A 22,933-nucleotide genomic window follows, 5' to 3' on the forward strand; every position below is an offset into this window, starting at 1 on the left:
GGGTAATCTGAGGTCAGGAGTTTGAGACTACCCTGACGAAGGGAGAAACCCCGTCTATACCAAAAAAAAAAAAAAAAAAAAAAATACAAAAAGAGCTGGGCATGTTGGCTCATGCCTGCAATCTCAGCTACTTGGTAAGCTGAGGCAGGAGAACCACCCAAATCCGGGAAGCGGAGGCTGCGGGGAGCTGAGACCGCGCCACTGCACTCCAACCGGGCAACAAGAGTGAAACTGCCGCAAAAAAAAAAAAAAAAAAAAAAAAAAAAAAGAGAGAGCGGGTTTCACCGTGTTGCCCCGGCCTGTCTGGAATTCCTAGGCTCAAGGGATCCCCGGCCCTATTCCTTTCTGATTTATAGATTAGGCCTTGCGCGCTGGCTCACGCTTGCAATCCCAGCACCTCCGGACGCCGAGGCGGGCGGATAACCTGAGGTGGGAAGTTTGAGACCAGCCTTATGAACATGGAGAAACCCCATCTCCAACAATAAAAACAAAAACAAACAAAAAACAAAATGAGCTGGGCATGGTGGCTCACGCGTGCAATCCCAGCCACTCGGGAGGCTGTGGCAGGAGAACCACCCAAACCCTGGAGGCGGAGGCCCGTTGAGCCAAGACCTCACCACTGCACTCCAGGCTGGGCAACAAGAGCGAATCTCCGCCTCAAAACAAACAAAAAGTGACCAGGTTTCACCATGTTACCCAGGCAGGTCTGGAACTCCTAGGCTCAAGTGATCCGCCGCGCTTGCCGTCCAAATTCCTGGGATCACAAGCGTGAGCCACCATGCCAGGCCGATCTAGTCCTTTATGATTAATAAACTGGACCGGGCGCGCTGGCTCACGCCTGCAATCCCAGCATCCCCAGAGGCCGAGGAGGTGGGCAGATAACCTGAGGTCGGGAGTTTGAGACCAGCCTGATGAATATGGAGAAACCCTGCCTGTACCCCCCCCGCCAAAAAAAAGAGAGACCGGGTTTCACCATGTTGCCCAAGCCGGTGTGGAACTCCTAGGCTCAAGTGATCCCCAGCGCTCGGCCGTCCGACGTCCTGGGATCACAAGCGTGAACCACCACGCCAGGCTGATTTATTTTTTTCTGATTAATCAATTGGGCCTTGCGCGCTGGCTCACGCCTGCAATCCCAGCATCCCCGGAAGCCAAGGCAGGCGGATAACCTGAGGTCCTGAGTTTGAGACCAGCCTGACCAACAGGGAGAAACCCTGTGTGTACCAAAAGAAAAAAAAAAAGAAAATTAGCCGGGCATGGTGGCTCACACCTGCAATCTCAGCCACTAGGGAGGCTGAGGCAGGAGAACCACCCAAACCCAAGAGGTGGAGGTGGCAGGGAGCCGAGACTGCACCACTGCACTCCAGCCTGGGCAACAAGAGCAAAACTCTGCCTCCAAAAAAACAAAAAAAAGAGAGAGACCGAGTTCCACCATGTTGCCCAGGCCAGTCTGGATCTCCTAGGCTCAAGTGATCCCCAGTGCTCCATCATCCAAAGTCCCTGGATCACAAGCGTGAGCCACCACGCCAGGCCGATCTATTCCTCTCTGATTAATAAATTAGGCGGGGTGCAGTGGCTCACACCTGCAGTCCTGTAGAGGGATTTTTAAGGAATTAGATAGACTCATGGGGTTTAGGAGGACATTTATTAATTATTTAGGTGCACCGGCCCAGTCGGATTAACATTTAAAGGATTGAGCACTGAACCAAGAGTTACCTTTCAAGCATTATGTGGGGCGAAGGGGGAGATCTGTGCAGGGAGAAGTATATTATAGAAGCGAGAAACAAAGATTGTTATTTAATTGAAACATGCATTATATTATTTTTTACTATTTAAGGAAAAATATGTTTTGTGACTTGAGTTTATTTGTTTAGTGACCTTGTAGTTGCACAGTTAAGGAATTAGTCGGGCATGGTGGCTCACACCGCAATCCCAGCCACTCGGGAGGCTTTGGCAGGAGAACCACCCAAACCCCGGAGACGGAGGTCTGGCAAGCTGAGACCTCGCCACTGCACTCCAGCCTGGACAGCAAGAGCAAATTTCCCCCTAAAAAAAAATATATATGACTGGGTTTCACCATGTTGTCCAGGCCGGTCTGGAACTCCTAGGCTCAAGCAATCTGGCTCTGGATGTCTTTAACTTGTGATTGAAAGCGTATTAAGATGTTGGGTGTATCAACAGTCCGGAGGACAAGAAGGAAAATCCTGGCATGTGAAATATTCTGCAACAAGAAAAGCAATCGGAGAGGTGACTACATTCACTGCAGCTGTTTTGCCCTCTTCTTCCCCACCCCCCACCCCCCACCCCCCCCCCGTCTCTTTCCTGGAAGTTCCCTAGTAAGAAGTAAAAGAGATAATGGCTTTCGAGTGCATGTTTTTCCTGGAATTGGAAGGAATTTTAACAAAGGAGCCCTTCACAATGAAACCCCCCCACACCCCTGCTTTTCACCTGAAGTAGGACAAGATCGTCGCCCCCACCATCATTCTCCACGTGACCCCAGGTGGGGATGGGTAGTGGACACTACTGATAAGCTCTTAGCAATTTCCCTATTTGTGGACTCTGAAGCTCCTTAGCTTGACAACTGATGCATAAGTTTTCTTTTGTGGGATAAGAATAGGAGAATAGGTGACCTTTTCCCCCTGAATTCCCATCCTGGGGCCAGGGAAGAGAGCCCAGGATCCCTTCTCTTGGCCTTCACACTGTGGGAAAGAGTACCTAGAGTTAAAAGCCTGATAAATGCCCTCGAACAGCTTTGAAAATCACAAGGTCAGGAGATCGAGGCCATCCTGCCTAACACGGTCAAACCCGTCTCTACTAAAAAAAAAAAAAAAAAAAAATTGGCTTATGCCTGCAATTTTAACACTTTGGGAGGCAGAGGTGGGAGGATCATTTTACCTAGGAGTTTGAGACCAGCCTGGGCAACATAGTGAGATCTTGTCTCTACAAAAACAGTTTTAAATTAGTCAGGCGTGGTGGTGCATACCTGTAGCCCCAGCTACTTAGGAGGCTGGGGCAGGAGAATCCTGCTGCTGCATTTTGTGCTACTTTTAAAAATATTTGGTAAAATTCAGGAGTAAAGCCGTCGGGTCTTGGGCTTTTCTTTCCCGGGAAACTTTTTTTTATTTTTTGAGAGGGCGTCTCGCTCTGTCGCCCAGGCTGGAGTGCAGTGGCCTGATCTCGACTCACTGCAGGCTCCGCCCCTCAGGTTCACGCCATTCTCCTACCTCAGCCTCCTGAGTAGCTGGGACTAGAGGCACCCGCCACCATGCCCAGCTAATTTTTTTTTTTTTTTTGTATTTTTTTTAGTAGAGACGGGGTTTGACCGTGTTAGCCAGGATGGTCTCCATCTCCTGACCTCGTGATCCGCCCGCCTCGGCTTCCCAAAGTGCTGGGATTACACGCGTGAGCCACTGCACCCGGCTTTTCCTGGGAAAATTGTTTCCGTCTCACTACTTATTGGTCTTTTCAGGTTTTGGATTTCTTTGTGGTTCATTCTTGCTAGGTTGTATGTATCTAGGAAAGTATCCATTTATTCTAGATTTTCTAATTTATTGGTCTATAGTTGCTCATACTAGCCTCTAATGATCCTTAGAATTTCTACAGTATCAATGAAAATGTCCCCGTTTTCATCTTGATTTTATTTATTTAGGGTTTTTTGTTTTTTTTTTAGTGTGGCTAAAGGTTACTGGTTTGGTTTATCTTTTTTAAAAAACGAACTTTTCGTTTTGTTCATATTTTGTATTTTTTCATTTCAATTTCATTAATTTTTGCTCTTATCTTTATTCTTTCCTTTCTTCTATACTTATTTTGGGTCTGGTTTATTCTTGCTTTTCTAGTTCTTTTAAGATGTATCGGCGCCACGGGCCCCGCAGAGCCAGGGCGGCTCCTGCCGGTAGCCTGTGTGTGGGCCCCGGCCAGCCGCGCCCCCAGTCCATATCGCCCTTCACTGCCCCGAGGCTGGCGCGGCTATGGGGCGCGGGGCCGGCGCTGCTCTGGGGCGTTGGAGCCGCGCGCCGCTGGAGGAGCTGCTGCCGGGGCGGGGGTCTGGGCGGCTCGGGGGGCCACGCGGGCCTCGGACGGCTCCCGGGGCTGTGGGCTTGGGCCCGGCAGCTGCAGGTGCGGGGCTCTTGCCGGCCGGGCGCTCCTCGGCTCCCGCGCGCCGGGTTCCCGGGCGGTCCCACCGCCACTGCCTGGGCAGGGGAGGAGGCCTGGCGGAGCGGGCGGGCGGCGCCTTCCCGGGACGACCAGCGGCTACGACCCATGGCGCCCGGACTCTCGGAGGCCGGGAAGCTCCTGGGGCTGGAGTTCCCTGAGCGCCAGAGGCTGGCAGCTGCGGTTGGATTTCTCCGATGTCCGGTGTTATCTCCATGTCTGCCCCTTTCTTCCTGGGGAAGATCATCGATGCCATCTATACCAACCCCACTGTGGACTACAGCGACAACCTGACCCGCCTCTGCCTTGGCCTCAGTGGCGTGTTTCTGTGTGGTGCTGCCGCCAATGCCATTCGTGTCTACCTCATGCAAACTTCACGTCAGCGCGTTGTGAAGAGGCTGAGAACTTCGTTATTCTCCTCCATTCTGGGGCAGGAGGTTGCTTTCTCTGACAAGGCTGGCACAGGGGAATTGATTAACCGCCTCTCATCGGACACTGCACTCCTGGGGCGCTCAGTGACTGAAAACCTCTCAGATGGGCTCAGGGCCGGGGCCCGGGCTTCTGTAGGCATCAGGACGATGTTTTGTGTCTCACCTAATCGGGCCACCTTTGTTGTGAGTGTGGTGCCTCTAGTGTCAATCATTGATGTAATTTATGGACGATATCTACGGAAACTGACCAAAGTCACCCAGGATTCGCTGGCACAAGCCACTCAGGAGGAACGTATTGGAAATGTTAAGAACTGTTCGAGCTTTTGGGAAAGAAATGACTGAAATAGAAAAATAGGCCAGCAAAGTGGACCATGTGATGTAGTCAGCAAGGAAAGCGGCATTCGCTCAGGCTGGCTTCTTTGGAGAACTAGGCTGTCCGGAAACCTGATTGTGCTTTCTGTCCTGTACAAAGGGGGGCTGCTGATGGGCAGTGCCCACATGACCATGGGTGAACTCTCTTCCTTCCTATGTATGCTTTCGGGGTTGGAATAAGCATTGGAGGTCTGAGCTTTTTCTACTCGGAGCTGATGAAAGGACTGGGTGCCGGGGGGCGCCTCTGGGAGCTCCTGGAGAGAGAGCCCAATCTGCCTTTTAAGGAGGGGGAAGGGTTATCTTAAATGAGAAAAGCTTCCAGGGTGCTTTGGAGTTTAAGAACGTGCATTTTGCCGATCCCGCTTGCCCAGAGGCGCCCATATTTCAGGATTTCAGCCTTTCCATTCCGTCAGGATCTGTCACGGCACTGGTTGGCCCAGGTGGTTCTGGCAAATCAACAGTGCTTTCGCTCCTGCTGAGGTTGTTCGACCCTGCTTCTGGAACTATCAGTCTTGATGGCCATGACATCCGTCAGCTAAACCCAGTGTGGCTGAGATCCAAGATTGGGACAGTGAGACAGGAAACCCATTTTGTTTTCTTGCTCTATCACTGAGAACATTGCTTATGGTGCTGATGGCCTTCCTCTGTGACCGCTGAGCAAGTCCAGAGAGTGGCTGAAGTGGCCAATGCAGTGGTCTTGATCCGGAATTTCCCCCAAGGGTTCAACACTGTGGTTGGAGAAAAGGGTGTTCTCCTCTCAGGTGGGCAGAAACAGCGGATTGCAATTGCCCGTGCTCTGCTGAAGAATCCCAAAATTCTTCTCCTAGATGAAGCAACCAGTGCGCTGGATGCTGAAAATGAGTACCTTGTTCAAGAAGCTCTAGATCCACTGATGGATGGAAGAACAGCGTTAGTTATTGCCCATCATCTCTCCACCATTAAGAATGCTAATATGGTTGCTGTTCTTGACCAAGGAAAAATTACTGAATATGGAAAACACGAAGAGCTGCTTTCAAAACCAAATGGGATATACAGAAAACTAATGAACAAGCAAAGTTTTATTTCAGCCTAAGGAAACAATTACTGGTAAACAACATGAGAGACTTTAATGCAAAACAGTATTGTAGAGAAAAAAAACCTCAGAGACTGCATGAAATATGTAAACCATATATCAAGTTATTTGAAAAATAGCTATTTTTTCCAAAGCGTGTAAAATATTGCTTTGAAATGTACCTGTTCTCAAGATCTTTTTATTCAGAGTTTTAACCATTGTAACTTTTTAAATGTCTATAGCACTGAAGTTATTTTCAGGTTTTGTATTTTCTTTCATTGTGGAATATTTTAATTAATATAGCATGGCACCTCATTTTCTTTTGCCTGCTGTTAAAGATGGAAGCTGTTGTCAAATGACAACTTTAAAAAGGGAAGTATAAATAAAAAGCCTGATTATTTTAGGCCAGTTTGCCAATCACTGTGTAATTCCTCTGGTAGTATTCTACCTACTTTAAGTCTAATTTTACTAGATAGAGTAATGGAAAATGAAAATTTAACCCTTTATTCCGATAATCTCATGAAGCAAACCTAACTATTTAACATCAGCTGGAAAGAAGGGAACATTTATATTGCCCGTCTCCTGTGTCTTCAAAGGTGTGAGAGTTGAGGAATATGTGTTCCTACGGGAACTATGTTTGAATATGTGCAGTTTTCAACATTTTGGCAAATGAAAGCCTGACAAGTTTTTAAAAGGGCAGAAGCTTTATTTTTTGAACAGAAAAATCTATTTTTTAAATTCACATGTTTGTATGAGTACTTCTGGGAAGCAAGGGATGAACTGCTAGGTATTATTAAGAATGAATGATTTTTGCATTTAAGTTGTTTGAAGGCATGTATTTTGAAAAATATCTGTTACAAATTTATAATTTCAAGACATACTAAATCTTATAATACTTTTGGAATTTCATTAATAAGGCTAAAATCTGAGGAATGTAACTAATTTTCAGCCTTAAGACACTTAAGTTTGGAAGTCCTTGCTATTCAACAGAATAACAAGAAACCTTCAGAATGTATCACTCTCCCAAAAAGAAGATATTAATAAGCCCTTTTCTTTTATTCATGGTTATAGTTTTTTTATAGTCTCAAAATTCCTAAAGCAATGCTGACAGCCATTGAATTTGCCATATTTTGTATTCAGTGCTGTTAATGTGCTGTTGCCTCAAGAAAAAGTGCTTTTTCTCCATTGATGAGGCTAGACCCTAAGAGGTAATTAAGTCAATGTAAATCAAATGGAAGTTTTGCCATGAACTAAGCATTTATTAGTTCCCTGATTAGACTGGAAGAAGAAACCGCTATTTCATGACAAGCATGGAATATTATATTTTCTTCTTCATAATTAATGAATAAAATTGATATGAGCGAATGAATGTAGTATTTTTTGAATTAGTAAACAGTACATCTGTGACAATCATTTTAACAAGCTCTACTTGTGTTCTTTATAAAGTGTGATTTTCAGAAAGCAAACAAAACACAATTAAAAGGTTGAATCTGAGGAAAATAATGCTTGTACCATAGAAGTATTTACAAAATTGCATTTCATTGTTATGTTTTATTTTCTGATACCTGATGTTCAATTATATCTGTAGGTAATATTTTATATCATAGATTAAAATTTATAGTGACCTTAAAAAAAGATGTATCATCAGGTTATTTATTTGAGGTTTTTCACTTTTTTGATCTTGGAAATTATAGGTATAAATTTCCCTCTTACTACTGCTGTTTGCTGTATCCCATAGGTTTTGGTATGTTGTGTTGCCGTTTTTATCTGCTTCAATAAATTTTTCAATTTCTTCTGAATTTCTTTGTTGAAATTGTAAGGATCATTAGAGGCTACTATGAGCAACCATAGGCCAGAAATTAGAAAACCTAGACTATATGGATACATATAGATACAGAAAAATTCACATTATGAATTTGTTCTTAAATAAGCTTTGGTAATTTGTCTCTTTAAAGAACTTTAAGCTGCCAAATTCTTGAGTATGGAATTGTTCATAATAGTTATTATCATTTAAATATAGAGGTTCTGTAATGATATTTCTTCTTTTATCAGTCCTTTTTTCTTAGTCTTACTAGTATGTAACAACTTTACTGATTTTTTCAAAGGAACTTTTCACTTTGTGAATTTATTTACTTTCAATTTCATTTATTTCTTTCATTACCTGTTATTTTATTTTTTCAAATTACGTTTTATTTGTTTATTTTTTCATTGACTTTTAAACCTATGTATTTTTCTAATAGAAGAATTTCAAATAATAAATTACCCTCTCAATTTAACTCTACACCACAAATATGAAGCTTTTATTATCATAATTTTGTTTTATTTTATTTTTTTAATTGGCACATAATAATTGTGCATATTTATGGGTACATAGTGATGTTTCAGTACTCATAGTGTATATATTTAATTACCCTGATGAGGTGATGGTAATTAGCATATCCATCATTGCAAACATTTATCATTTCTTTGTTTTGGGAACATTCAATATCCTTTCCTAACTATTTGAAGCTATATATTATTGTTAACTATTGTCATACCATAATGGTATAGAGCATTAGAACTTATTCCTCCTATCTAGCTTTAATTTTGAATCTTTTAACAAATCTCTCCCTATCCCTCCCTCCCTCTTATACTTTCCAGCCTCTAGCATCCTCTGTTTTAACTTCTATAAGATCAAAATATTTTAGCTTCCACATATGAGTGAGAAGCTGTAATGTTTAACTTTCTCTTCTTGGCTCATTTCACTCACATAATACACTCCATTTCTATGCACGTTGCTTTTATGGCCGAATAGTACTTCATTGTGTATCTATTCCTTTTCCCCTCCTGTCCCCTCCCTTCCCCTCCTCTCCCCTCCCCTCTCCTTCCTTTCCCTTCTTGAGATGGAGTCTTGCTCTGGAGTGCAATGGTGTGATCTTGGCTCACTGTAACCTCTGCCTCTCGGATTCAAGTGATCTTCCACCTCAGCCTCCCGAGTAGCTGGGGACGTGCCACCATGCCCAGCTAATTTTTATATTTGTAGTAGAGATGGGGTTTCACCATGGTGGCCAGGCTAGTCTCGAACTCCTGACCTCCAGTGATCCACCCATCTTGGCCTTCCAAAGTGCTGGGATTGCAGGCGTGAGCCACCGTGCCCGGCCTATATACCACATTTTCTTTAACCATCATCTGTTGCTGGACCCTTAGGTTGATTCCATATCTTGCCTATTGTGAATAGTGCTGCAATAAACATCTAGGTGCAGATGTTTATTTAATATACTGTTTTCCTTATTTCATATTTTTTCTAAATTATCTTTTGATTTCTTTTATGAACTATGAGTTAAATAGTGTTTCATGTTATTTACAACTATTTGGGGGTTTCCTAGGAATCTCTTATGTCATCGATTTCAAATTAAATTTTATTGTGATCAGAGAATATATTCTATAAAATCTAAAGCTTAAATTCATTTAAACTTACTCTTTGATTCAGCATTTGGCCTATGTTGGTGGTGCTTTCAATACACAAGAAAACAACGTATATTCAGCATTTGAAATGTAGTTTTTATAAATGTCAATAAGATCAAGGTGATTTATAATGAAGTTGAAATGTTCTATAGCCATACGAATGGTTTGTCTTACTGTTCAATCAGTGATGAACAGAGGGATGTTAAAATCTTTAATTATTATTGTCATTTATCCATTTCTCCCTTCAATTCTGCTTTTTCCTTCATGAATTATGAGGCTTTATTATTAAGTTGGTGTCCCTTTCATAATTATGAAATGGGGGCATTTCATAATTATGGACATATATGTCATATTAGGACAATAATATAATAACCAATTCATCGGAGGACAATAATATTGCTTATATTATTGTCCTCCGATGAATTGGTTATTTCATAATTATGAAATGCCCCCATTTTCTCTTATAATGCACCCTCTTTTCCAGTCTACATTGCATTTTGCTAATATAGCCACACAAGCTTCCTAATGCTTGCTGTGTATATGGTTTATCTTTTCTTGTAGGTTTACTTTTCATCTATCTGTGTCTTTATGTTTAATATATGTTTCTGGTAGACAACATTAGTTGGGTCTCATTCTTTTGTCTAATATGACAGTCTCTACCTTGTAATTGAATAATTTAGTTCATAAATATGTTAAATGAAATGTGTTGCCACTTTTAAAAACTGTACAATCTCTTGTTTCTCTTCTCGTATTTTTGTTTAATTGTATTTTAAGTATTCATTTTAAATTGCATAGATGAGTTAGTTGCAACGCTTTTTTGTATTGAGTTATTTGTATTACAATAATCATCAATTTATACTTAACTAATCTAAATTTTACTTCGAGGTAATTTTTGACAACTTCATATATAATGTAAAAAACTGATGACATCTGTTCTATTTTTACATTCTCTCCAGTGATTGATAGTGTTGCCTACTTTGTCAAATCAAAACAAGGCAACATTTTCCTAAAAAGTGATCTGTGCTCCACCTATCCTATTCATATGCACAGAAGACTTTCAGGGCAGAAAACTATTCTGCATGATACTATACTGGTATATGAATTTGCCTAAACTCATAGAATGTATGACAGCAAGCGTGGACCCTAATATAACTATGGACCTTGGTGATAAGGATGTGCCAGTGCAGGTTCATCAGCGGTAAGTAATGTGCCACTCCAGAGGAGAATGACAGCAAGGGGTCAGGCTGTGCCTGTGTGGACACAATGATGTATGAGAAATCTTTGTATCTTTCTTTCAATTTTGCTGTGAACTTACAACTGCCCTAAAAATAAAGTCTATTAAAAAAACCCAAAACAACAACAACAAAAACTGATGACGGTAACATTTCCTTTATTCCCCCTCTGTCTTTTGTGATTTTTTTTAGTATAAGTTTTTCTATCCACATCATAAACCCCACAATAAAATGATATCTTTTTAAATTTAAATAGTCAGTTTCCCTTCAACAAAATCGACAGATTAAAAAAAAGTATTTCCTGTTACTCATATACTTACCATTTCTATGCTTTTCATTTCCTCTAATCTGGAGTTTAGATTCGATGTTATTTCCCTTCAGGCCAAAAAACTTCTGCTAGCATGTTTTGTAGTACAGATTTGCTGGTGACAAATTGGCCCATTTAATTTTTCCGAAAATGTCTTAATTTTACCTTCAACTTTGAAAGATACTTTAATAATATATAGAAACGAACCTGATGCTCTGTCATCTCCAAATACTTTAGTAGACTGATTCTCAACCAGGGGGAGTTTTGCCCTCCAGGAAACATCTGATAATATCTCAAGATATTTTTAGTTGTTAGCCTGGGGAAAGGTGTGAGGAGGATGCTACTGTCATTTAGTTATTAAAGGCAAACCAAGTCGCTAAACATCCTGCAATTCACAGGAAATGCCCCCAACAAAGAATTATGTGGCCCAAATGTCAGAAGCGATAGTGCCAAAGTTGAAAAACCTTGCTTTCATATATATTTTCTACAAACACAATTGTGTCTATATATGTATATACATATATATAATTCTATATATTACAAATCTATTACAGTAATATATGTGCCCCCCCAAATGCAATACGTGCACAGTACAACGAACAAAACCAGAAAATTAATATTAATATATTGCTACATCTAATTATCAAGTCCGCATTAAAATTTCACCAATAGTCAGCCGGGCACGGTGGCTCACGCCTGTAATCCCAGCACTTTGGGAGGCCGAGGCGGATGGGTCACGAGGTCAGGCGATCAAGACCATCCTGGCTAACACGGTGAAACCCCGTCTCTACTAAAAATACAAAAAAAAAAAAGGAAAAAATTAGCCGGGCGTGGTGGTGGGTGCCTGTAGTCCCAGCTACTCGGGAGGCTGAGGCAGGAGAATGGCGTGAACCCAGGAGGCCAGGCTTGCAGTGAGCCCAGACCGCGCCACTGCACTCCAGGCTGGGCGACAGACGGAGACCCCGTCTCAAAAAAAAAAAAAAATTCACCAATAGTCCCAATAATGTTTCATAGCAAAAGGATCAAGTTCAGAATCATGCATTGCCTTTCATTGTCATGTCTTTTTAATGTCCTTGTATCAAGAATAGATCTTTAGACCTAACTTAACCAAGATTTCTGGCCCATATTTTCTTCTTTTTTTCCTTTGCTTTGCTTCTCCTTCCTTTTCTCCTTTCCTTTCTCCTTCGCTTTCCCCTTCCTTTTTCTCTTCCCTCTCCCCTTCCCTTCCCCCTCCCCTTCCTTCTCCTCTCCTCTTTCCCTTACTTTTTCCTTTTCCCTTCCTTCTTTTTTGAATGGCTCCCTTTAGGTTTTCTGAGGTTTCCTTGTGACTAGAGTCAGGCAATGCATTTTGGCAAGAATATCACAGAATTGATGCTGCGTTTTTTTCATTGCATCCTATCAGGTGGTACATGATTCCATTTTGTCTCATTACTGACAATGTTTATTTTGACAGGTTGATAATGGTGGTATATAGTAGGCTTCTATCTTGTTATTCTCTATTTCTAGATTCTGTTACTTTATTTTATGTTGTTTTTCCTAAAGGGTAATAGGAATTTTCTCTGTTTCTTTATTTTGTTTTTGTTTATTTCCCTATTTTTATTCCTTACTATACTTTTAGCACATAGTACCTAGTGCAAAATACTAATATATGTTGAACACCAACAGTTGTTGAACAAATGTCTGAAACTGACTCTGTCCTGCTACCACAAAAACATATATATATATATTTTTTTTTTTCCTATAGGGATACCATCAACTACATAGTTGTCTAAGCCAAGACCTCCTGCTAGGACTGATTAAAGCCTGTGCATCCTCATTATCCAGAGCCTGTGTTGCTCCTCTAGAGCTATAGTCAGGCTAACCATTCCTTCTGGTTAATATCTGAAAGGAAGAATCATGCAGCAAGAAGAGAACTGTGAGGGAAGAAAAATGGCACAAACCCAGCCTGGATTTCTCTCTCCCCTTTTAATGATGAATGAATGAAAAAAATTCATCATTAGCTGTAGTTAGTTTCTATTACATAAAAAGGAAGCTGATGAAATATATAACTGAGTTATATACCCACATCCAATTGGTTCTGTTTCTCTGGAGAACTCTATTAAAGAAGTTATTGAGTATTGTTTACATGTACACTGACAAATATGTCTAAAGGTTATGTCTGAACACCTATAAATTTATATCAATGATTCTATATAGTTCATTCTTATTACACTTGATTCTAATTCTTATGAAGTTGATGTTTGGTAGAATGAATGATAAAAGGAGATTCTGTCCCCTATTGAAGTGTTTGTGTAGTTACACGCCAGAGTTTTGGAGATTGAGGAAAAGGTTGAGCTTAAATAATTTTATGGGCAAACTCAATGCTTGAATGTAAGATAGTACTTTACTTTGAAAGATTTGGAGGATTTCATAATGACTTTTACTTTTGCTAATTATTGATACAGTCACTTGTAAATAAGTTTACTTAGGTAAGCTCAAGGAAATCATGCTTTTTCTCAGGCTTATTTTAAATCTGAATATTTTTACTGTCTTTGCTTTTACAAGAAAATATTCATCATTGTATTTTTTGTCTTAATTTTCAAAGTCAAATGTTAATTGTTTTTGTGGGATTACTTTGGCAAATATGGGAGATCCCCAAACAAATTTTAAAAAGTTTTTTCGGCCGGGCGCTGTGGCTCACGCCTGCAATCCCAGCACTTTGGGAGGCTGAGGCGGGCGGATCACGAGGTCAGGAGGTCAAGACCATCCTGGCTAACACAGTGAAACCCCGTCTCTACTAAAAATACAAAAGAATTAGCCGGACGTGGTGGCGGGCGCCTGTAGTCCCAGCTACTCGGGAGGCTGAGGCAGGAGAACGGCGTGAACCCGGGAGGCAGAGCTTGCAGTGAGCTGAGATCGTGCCACTGCACTCCAGCCTGGGCGACAGAGCGAGATTCTGTCTCAAAAAAAAAAAAAAAAAAAAGTTGTTTCTGTTCTCCTTTGTTTTCTACTTTCTCTTAAATAGAAATATATTTCTTGTACAAATAAATGCCATGAATTAAAAAAATAATAAATTATGATTTTCCTTCGTGAGGATCAGTTCTCCTAGACATTGGTTTAGCTAATGCCAGCTATTTGGTATAAAAATCTGTATCCGTGGAGAGGTAAAAAAGAGCTAAAGGAAGCATAAGAAAGACAACCGCATCTTTAAGAAGTTCCTCTTTTTCTTTTTTCTTTTTTTTCTTTTTTTTTTTTGAGACGGAGTCTTGCTTTGTTCCCCATTGTTCCCCAGGCTGGAGTGCAGCGGCGCGATTTCTGCTCAGTGCAAACTCCGCCTCCCGGGTTCACGCCATTCTCCTGCCTCAGCCTCCCGTGCAGCCGGGACTACAAGTGCCCGCTACGGCGCCCAGCTAATTTTTTGTATCTTTAGTAGAGACGGGGTTTCACTGTGTTAACCAGGATGGTCTCGATCTCCTGACCTCGTGATCCACCCGCCTCGGCCTCCCAAAGTGCTGGGATTACAGGCGTGAGCCACAGCACCCGGCCAAGAAGGTTCTCTTAAAAGGAATCACTTCTTGTTTTCTTACAAGTTATAACCTCACTACCCTAGAGTCACATTTTTTAATAACTTATGAATTTTCTGAAACTTCAAATACCCTATGGCCCCATGGTAAAACATCAGATGACATTTGCCTCTCATTTAAACCATTTTTCTTTTCCTCTTTCTTCATTTTTCTTATACTCTCTCATTTCTTTTTCTCTCTTCCTATTTCTCTTTTTCTCTCTGCTTCTTCCTACCTCCCCTCGTGACTTTGTCTCCTCATCCCGTCACCGTGCTACTTAGATGCCACATCAATTTGACTAGCCTCAAATTTACAATGAATACTTTTTAAATTCATGCTTCTGAAACTTTTAAAGGATGAAGAGGTATAAATGTCTCAAATAATAATTTGCTTGATGGCTGAAATGAATGGCATTTCTCAAAAAGGCCAAGGGACTGAATACAGCAATTTAAACAATCACTTTCCGTTAGTGATATGGTTTGGATGGTTTGTCCCCTCCAAATCTCATGTTGAAATGCGACCTCCAGTGTTGGAGGTGGGCCTAGTAATAGGTGTTTGTTTCCCAAGGGTGGATCCCCATGAATGGTTTTGTGCTGTCCTCCCGGTAATGAGTGAGTTCTTGCTCTATGAATTCACGAGAGATCTTGTTGTTTAAAAGAGCCTGGCATCTCCCTTGCTCCCTCTCTCCCCATGTAATATGCCAGCTCCCCCTTTGCCTTAAGCCATGATTGTCAGCTTCCCGGGCCTCAGCAGAAGCTGAGCAGATACTGGTGGCCTGTTTGTACAGCCTGCAAACCATCAGCCAAATACTCCTCTTTTCTTTATAAATTACCCAGTCTCAGGTATTCCTTTATAGCATTGAGATGGACTAACATAGTCAGTTTTGACAACATGAACCTTTCATATTAAAATTTAATTTCTAAATTCACTCATTTACTGTGATTGGTTTATAGCTTTTCTGTAATAATGAATTTTACGTGTGACTTTCAATGTGCTTTAAAACTTGATTCACTTTTTAGCTCTATTTTTGGAAACTACCAGCTTCCACTGTTGAGGCAAAAGTGTCATCATTGAGGCTCTCCTGCTGAGGTAGCTGTTGTCTGATTTCCCTTCAGTTCTACTGCTGTCCCAGTGGAAAAAGGGAATCTTCACCACTTACATGACATGTTTGCCTGAACTCTAATCTTCCACACTTGCTGTAGAAAAGAGTAAAGTGGCAGTTCAGGGCAGTTTACCAATTTAGAAACGGTGTCCGCTCGGTATTTTCCTCTGTGTCACTTACTAAAACATATAAAAGAAACCATGGACATTAAAAGAAAGAGAGAGGTTTAATGTGATATTTTAATTCTAACAAGGATTTATGGGCACATGAATGCCCAAAATCACATACCCCCTTAGTGTTTTTCATCTCACACATATCACATCAGACACATATCACACATATCAGGCACATATCACACAGAACTTACCATAATTAAATTATCAGTTTTTGAAAAATATCATTTGCTCTCTTTTTTTCTATATAAATAAATTTTTTTAAAATATGATTTTCAGTTCTGGGATACATGCACGGAACATGCAGGTTTGTTATATAGGTATACATGTGCCATATAGGTGGTTTCTTATTTGTGTTTTCATCTTATGGCTTTGGCTAGAACTAGATAATAAAAGTATGCATCAATTTAAGAGTTATTTTTAATCATGGTAAGGACATATCTATAACTACTTTGTTAAATTTCATCAGTCATGCATGTTAAATATCATTAAATAAATATCAAAAATGGGCTGCTGTACCAGAATACCATAGACTTGGTGGCTTATAAACAACAGAAAGGAATTTCTCACAGTTCTGGGGTCTGGGAAATCTAAGACCAAGGTACTAGCCAATCTGGTGTCTGGGAAAAACTTTTGTTCTAGTTCAAAGAAGGCTGCCCTTTCTCTATAACCTCAGTTGGGGAAGGAGCAAGGGAGTTCAGGGGGCTGCTTTAGAAGGGTGCTAAACCCATTAATGAGGGCTGCTCTCTCATGACTTAATTAGTTCCCAAAAGCCCCACCTTCAAAAACCCTCACACTGGCGGTTAGCATTTCAACATATGAATTTGAGAGGGATGTAAACATTTAGTCTGTAGCAGTAAATGTACAATATAAGGTAAATAGCTTTATTGTTGTGTTGCATTATATTAATACATATTTTCTAGTATTAAATCTTTGTATGCCAAATCACTGGGGTGGGTGATTTCTTAGTAAGTGTAGAATTCAGTTCCTTTTTCTTTCAGTTAAGAATATTTTAACTATGTTTATAAGGGATACTGTTTAGTAATTTTATTCTTTTTGTATTCACTTCATCAAGAGTTAGTAATAGTTATATTTGCTTTGTAAAATGAACTGAAAGGAAGCCACTTTTTATAACTTTATCCATATTTCCTAGTCTGGGGTCCATTTTACAAGATGTTTTAAACAGATGCTTATTAAAAACACTGGTTATAGGGACTTTAATAAAAATTTTTAAAATAATGTTTTACATTTCTTGCAAACATTGATGCCTGCAACCTATTTACTATTTTTAAAATTAAATTAAGATTCATTTAAGCAGTACATGTTTATTTTAGTGAAACACGTATTTAATTTTCTAAGATAGTATTTTTTGTCTTTAAAACAATTTCTGCATGTTTTGTTTTTTTTTTCACTTTAAATTTTATGTTTTCTCAGTTTTTGTTTTATCACATTTGCTGTATTTTTCTGTATCATGGGTTATTTGTTAAAGAATGAACTTGTGTATGTTTATAAATTGTTACTGTTTTTGTTTATAATTTATTGCCTTCTAACTTAATATGTAATTAGCATTCCTTTTAATTTTGCTTGTATGCTTTGCTGTACCATTTTGAAATTCTTGAGTTAAATGCTTAACTATTTTTTATCAAGTTTAAATATTAAATTAAATATGTCCCATCAGTTTAGTCATTTTAATATTCTCACTCATCAGACATTTTTTGGGAACACCATATGCCTTTTCATGCAGTCAGTTTCAAGAAAATGAAAATTACTTTTTATATGTTTATACTCAAAGCTTGGCTAGAGATAAGTCTCCCCTTCCTTAAGTTGGGGAGAGAGTGATTTCTTCCAGGCTATAGTCAAAAGAGATACAATTATAGTAATTTTTTGTGTTTGTTTGGGTTGTTTCTGTTTGTTTGTTTGTTTGTTTGTTTGAGACGGAGGTTGGATCTTGTTGCCCAGGCTGGAGTGTAGTGGCATAATCTCAGCTCACTGCAACCTCCGCCTCCTGGGTTCAAGCAATTCTAAACATATTTTAGCACAAAACTGTTTAAGATTTCAATTTATATCTTTTTATTATCTTCCATATACTCTTTTGATACATTACCCATTATGTTGATTATTAACGTACACTCAAGTCAAGATCTTTTATTATGTGAGGTCATCAGTCAATGATAACAGATATTGATGAATTAGTCTCCTCATCAGAAATTGAGCAACATTTTCATTCAAGACGACACATGGGCCTTTAAAGCATATTCAATAATACTGAGTCTCAGTCTTCTCCTGCTATTTTCTGAATGTGCATTTAGACCTTTATACATCTATCTATCTACTGACCCATTTATTAAATTTTCAGCATTTACTTTGTACTCCAAGGACCAGAACCATGTTTGTCTTGTTCACTGCTGTACTCCTATTGCAAGGACCTAGAACATAGTAGGAGCTCATTAAACTCTGAGGATTCAAAATAAGTGAATAGAGGTTGTAGCAGGAAGAAGTCTAAGATAGCCCCTATGACCTTCATTTCCTCATGTTACCCTGTTGATACCTCACACGGCAAAGGAGTCTTGCACATGTCACTAAGGCTAATAATCCGTCAGCCTTAAGACGGGGGGAGTACCTGGGTAAACCTAACCTAATCACACCAAAACCTAACAATCAGGGAGTTTTCTACAACTGAGAGTAGAATGGGAAGTCAGAGAGTTTCAGAGTCCAAGAAGCATTTATAGCACCCTTATTGACTTTGAAGATGCTTTGCTTCTTCTTTTGAGTTCAGTTTGAGATTATCTTTCTAATAATTGATTAGATTTTATTCTTGTAAAAAAAGAGATAATTTAAAGGAATCTATTTTTAAATACTCTGAGGAGGGTGATACTAGGGGTGCTGGTTGTCCTGTTTTAACTTTGTCTTAATTTCTAATGTAATTAAATTTTGAGTAGGTAATGTGACCTGTGTGGTTTTTATTTTAAAAAATATATTGAGGTTTTATATAATCTATTTTTAAAATATTCAATGGAAACTTGAAAACATACTGTTTCACATATTCTTGTATATATATATTAAAAATCTTTTTTTATTTATTTTTTATTTTTATTTTTTTTTTGAGACGGAGTCTCGCTCTGTCGCCCAGGCTGGAGTGCAGTGGCGCCATCTGGGCTCACTGCAAGCTCCGCCTCCTGGGTTCACGCCATTCTCCTGCCTCAGCCTCCCGAGTAGCTGGGACTGCAGGCACCCACCACCACGCCCAGCTAATTTTTTGTATTTTTAGTGGAGACAGAGTTTCACCGTGTTAGCCAGGATGGTCTCGATTTCCTGACCTCGTGATCCGCCCGCCTCAGCCTCCCAAAGTGCTGGGATTACAGGCGTGAGCCACTTAGCCCGGCCTAATTATTTGTTTTTTAAAAGATGGTACATAGGAAGAAGTAAATCAGGAAAAGTGGATAGTGATTGGTGGCAGTAGAAGTGAGTCAGTGTTACAGTTACTATTGCTGCTTAAGAAACTAACCCAAATGGCCTGGGTGCCGTGGCTCACGCCTGTAATCCCAGCAGTTTGGGAGGCTGAGACGGGCGGATCATGAGTTCAGGAGATCGAGACCATCCTGCCTAATACGGTGAAACTCTGTCTCTACTAAAAATACAAAAGTTAGCCTGGCCTGGTGGTGGTGGGCGCCTTAAGTCCCAGCTACTCGGGAGGCTGAGGCAGGAGAATGGCGTGAACCCGGGAGGCGGAGCTTGCTGTGAGCCGAGATCGCGCCACTGCAGTCCAGCCTGGGCGACAGAGGGAGACTCCGTCTCAAAAAAAAAAAAATTAAAAAAAAGAAAAAGAAAAAAGAAACTACCCTAAATTTAATAAGGTAAAACAACGACCACTTCATTATATCTCATGGATCCTATAGGTGAGAAATTCCAGCAGGATTCATCTGAGTGATTCTTCCTCTCTCACATCATTAACTAGGGTGACTCAGTGCTAGTCGGCTGGCAAACAAGTCAGTCTGGAAGGTGCAAGGTGCTTTTTTTCTGTCTTATAAATTGGTGGAGTTGTCTGGAAGGCAAGGCTCAGATGGGAAGGACTCTTAGTTATAGTGCCTGCACAGGGTAAACTTTTTTTTTTTCTTTTTTTTTTGAGACGGAGTCTCACTGTCCCCCAGGCTGGAGTGGTGTGGCCCGATCTCGGCTAACTGCAAGCTCCGCCTCCCGGGTTCACGCCATTCTCCTGCCTCAGCCTCCCGAGTAGCTGGGACTACAGGCGCCCACCACCAGGCCCAGCTATTTTTTTGTATTTTTAGTAGAGACGGGGTTTCACCGTGTTAGCCAGGATGGTCTCGATCTCCTGACCTCGTGATCCACCCGCCTTGGCCTCCCAAAGTGCTGGGATTACAGGCCTGAGCCACCGCGCCCGGCCTGCACAGGGTAAACTTCTTATATGGCTGCTGGCTTTCCGCAGATCAAACACTCCAAGGGAACCAGGTGGAAAAGGCCTGGTCTCTTTTTATCTCACCTTAAAGGTCAGGTAGAATTATTTGTCATACTCTATTGATTGTAGCAGTCACAAGCACGTCCAGATTTAGGGAAGGGAGACATAGACCTATTTTTTGATGAGAAGAATATCAACCTGTTTTTGGACTATGTTTAAAACTGCCACACATGACAATTACACACCAGGTAGAAGGCATTTGGCGACAGACTTCTTGAAGGAAATGAGGAGGAATCGTGCTCTGCTGAAAAAAGAGCATTCCAAAGAGAGACCACAGCTTGGGCAAAAGCCCTGAGTCGGAATCATGTGGACTTATTCTTAGAACAGCATCGAGGAAGCCATTATAGCTGGAGTAGAATGAGAAGGGGGAAGAGTATTAGTAGATGGTGGCAGAGAAATAAACATGAGAAGACGGATGATGGAACGAGCACCTTGTACGTCATTTTAAGGACTTTGGCTGTTCCTCAAACTGACATGGGACCATTGAAAGATTTTTTTATTTTTTATTTTTTAAATTTAACTTTTAAGTTCAGTGGTACACGTGCAGGTTTGTTATGTAGGTAAACTTGTGTCATGGGGGTTTGTTGTACGGATTATTCTGTTACCCACATGGTAAACCTGCTACCCACTAGTTGTCTTTCCTGATCCTCTCCCTCCTCCCAGCTTTCACCCTCCTTTTCAAAATAAGACATACATGCAGCCAACAAACATAGAAAAAAAGCTCAGCATCACTGATCATTAAAGAAATGCACATCAGAAGTACAATGAGATACTATCTCACACCATTCAGAATGGTTATTATTAAAAAGCCAAAAAATAACATGCTGGCAATATTGTGGAGAAAAGGCAACATTTCTACACTGTTGGTGGGAGTGTAAATTAGTTCAGCCATTGTGGAAGACAGTGTGGTGATTCCTCAAAGACCTAAAAGAACTACCATTCGACCCGGCAATCCTATTACTGGGTATACACCCAAAGGAATATAAATTGTTCTGTCATAAAGACACATGCATGCATATGTTTATTGCAGCGCTATTCACAGTAGCAAAGGCATGGAATCAACATAAATGCCCATCAATGGTAGACTGGATAAAGAAAATGTGGTATATATACACCATGGCATATTATGCCACCATAAAAGATGAGATCACGCCCTTTGTAGGAACATGGATGGAGCTGGAAGCCATTATCCTTAGCCAACTAATGCAGGAACAGAAAACCAAATGTTCCCACTTAGAAGCGAGAGTCAAAGGGGAGAATACATGAACACGTAGAGGGGAACAACATTGAAAGATATAAGCAAAGAAGTGATATCATCTGAATTGCATTTCTGAGATTTCTCTGGCACTTGTGTAAAAAATAGCTGAAAGGAATCAACGGCAGAAGCTGGGAGACCAGTTAGGGAGCTTTTGCAATAACCATAAGAGGAAATATGTGTGGCTTAGACTAGGAATCGTCAGGTTGGGAGTGCTCATTCAAATGTGGTCAGAATCCGGACATTTTGAGTGAGCCTACAGAAAGCTTTAATACTATCTCAAACTAAAGGATATAGAAGGTTTTCCCTTTCTCTTGCCCTGAAACCTTCTGTATCCTTTATTTTGAGATAGTATTAGAATTCTTACTATCTTACTGACAATTCTCACTATCTTGTTTTATAACTTGGAACATGATTATAATTATAGTATTGTTAAATATTTTATTTTTATTTTATAATTATACTTTAAAAATATTATTTTGGTAAATAATCATAAAATATGAAAAATAAATCTTTCCATTAACTGAATCAATTGTCCCCTTGCAGGATTTTGGCTTCACAACTTCCTAATCCTTGAAATATTAATTTTGATTATTTTTCTAATATGTACCCATATGTCTTTGAGTAAATTTTTATTGGAAGGACAAATCAGTGCTGGATATACAGATGCCATTGCTTCGTACTCAGGTAAAGACAACCTGATATTTATGATCCTCTTGATCATATTTTTATTCTCTTAAAATCTTTATGTCTTCTAATAATGTTAACAGAGAAGAAAAAAAGTCTTATCTAAGCCTGACTTTTTATTTTTAAGGAAGTTTTTTTATTTATTTGTAAAATTCAGGAGTTTGGCTAGTTGTTATTTAAATATGGAGAACTCTTCCTTGTTTCTTCCCCCTCCCTGCCTAGAAGCTGGTTGGTGCTTTTATTATTCGTACTTCAGTGATAGCTTTGATTATTGTTTCAGATCTCCTTGCCCTTGTGTCTTTCCCCAGTACACAAACTATTCTCGAGGTGGAACCTGTGGTCTCTGGCATACCCATCCGCCTTCTTCTCTGTCATTAGTTCATCTCTTCCTTTGCCCTCCAGAGCTCTGATTCAATTGCTGCTTGAACTTTTCAGTGTGTCAGTTTCTTTCTCCACGGATTTCCCTGTGGATGGAAAATCTGCCCTTGCACTTTAGTTTTCATAGAAGCCTCATCTCAGCTATCTCCCATTTTGTGATATGAGCCTCTTTTGTTATTGTAGCCTTCATCTCCTATTTCCTAAATTCCATGTGTTTCTACATACTGTTCATAGACAAATAGTTTAAAGCAATGGTCTATAGTTTCTTGTGGTTTGAAAGTCATATATTTTTAAATACGTTTTCTCCCCCTGAGAATTCAGCATACAGTTTCATTT

General features: G+C 40.2%; 1 non-coding gene and 1 pseudogene across 1 annotated transcript; both read left to right on the forward strand.

Annotated features, from left to right (window-relative positions):
• ABCB10P1 (ABCB10 pseudogene 1) lies at positions 3,854–7,631 on the forward strand (annotated as a pseudogene).
• Positions 21,799–21,892, forward strand: MIR4509-1 (microRNA 4509-1). The gene has a single exon (NR_039732.1). It is a non-coding gene; the product is annotated as a microRNA 4509-1 (primary transcript).
• The last annotated feature ends 1,041 nt before the right edge of the window (positions 21,893–22,933 follow it).

The sequence above is a fragment of the Homo sapiens genome, chromosome 15 (genome assembly GCF_000001405.40).
Source record: "Homo sapiens chromosome 15, GRCh38.p14 Primary Assembly".
Taxonomy (NCBI): Eukaryota; Metazoa; Chordata; class Mammalia; order Primates; family Hominidae; genus Homo; species Homo sapiens.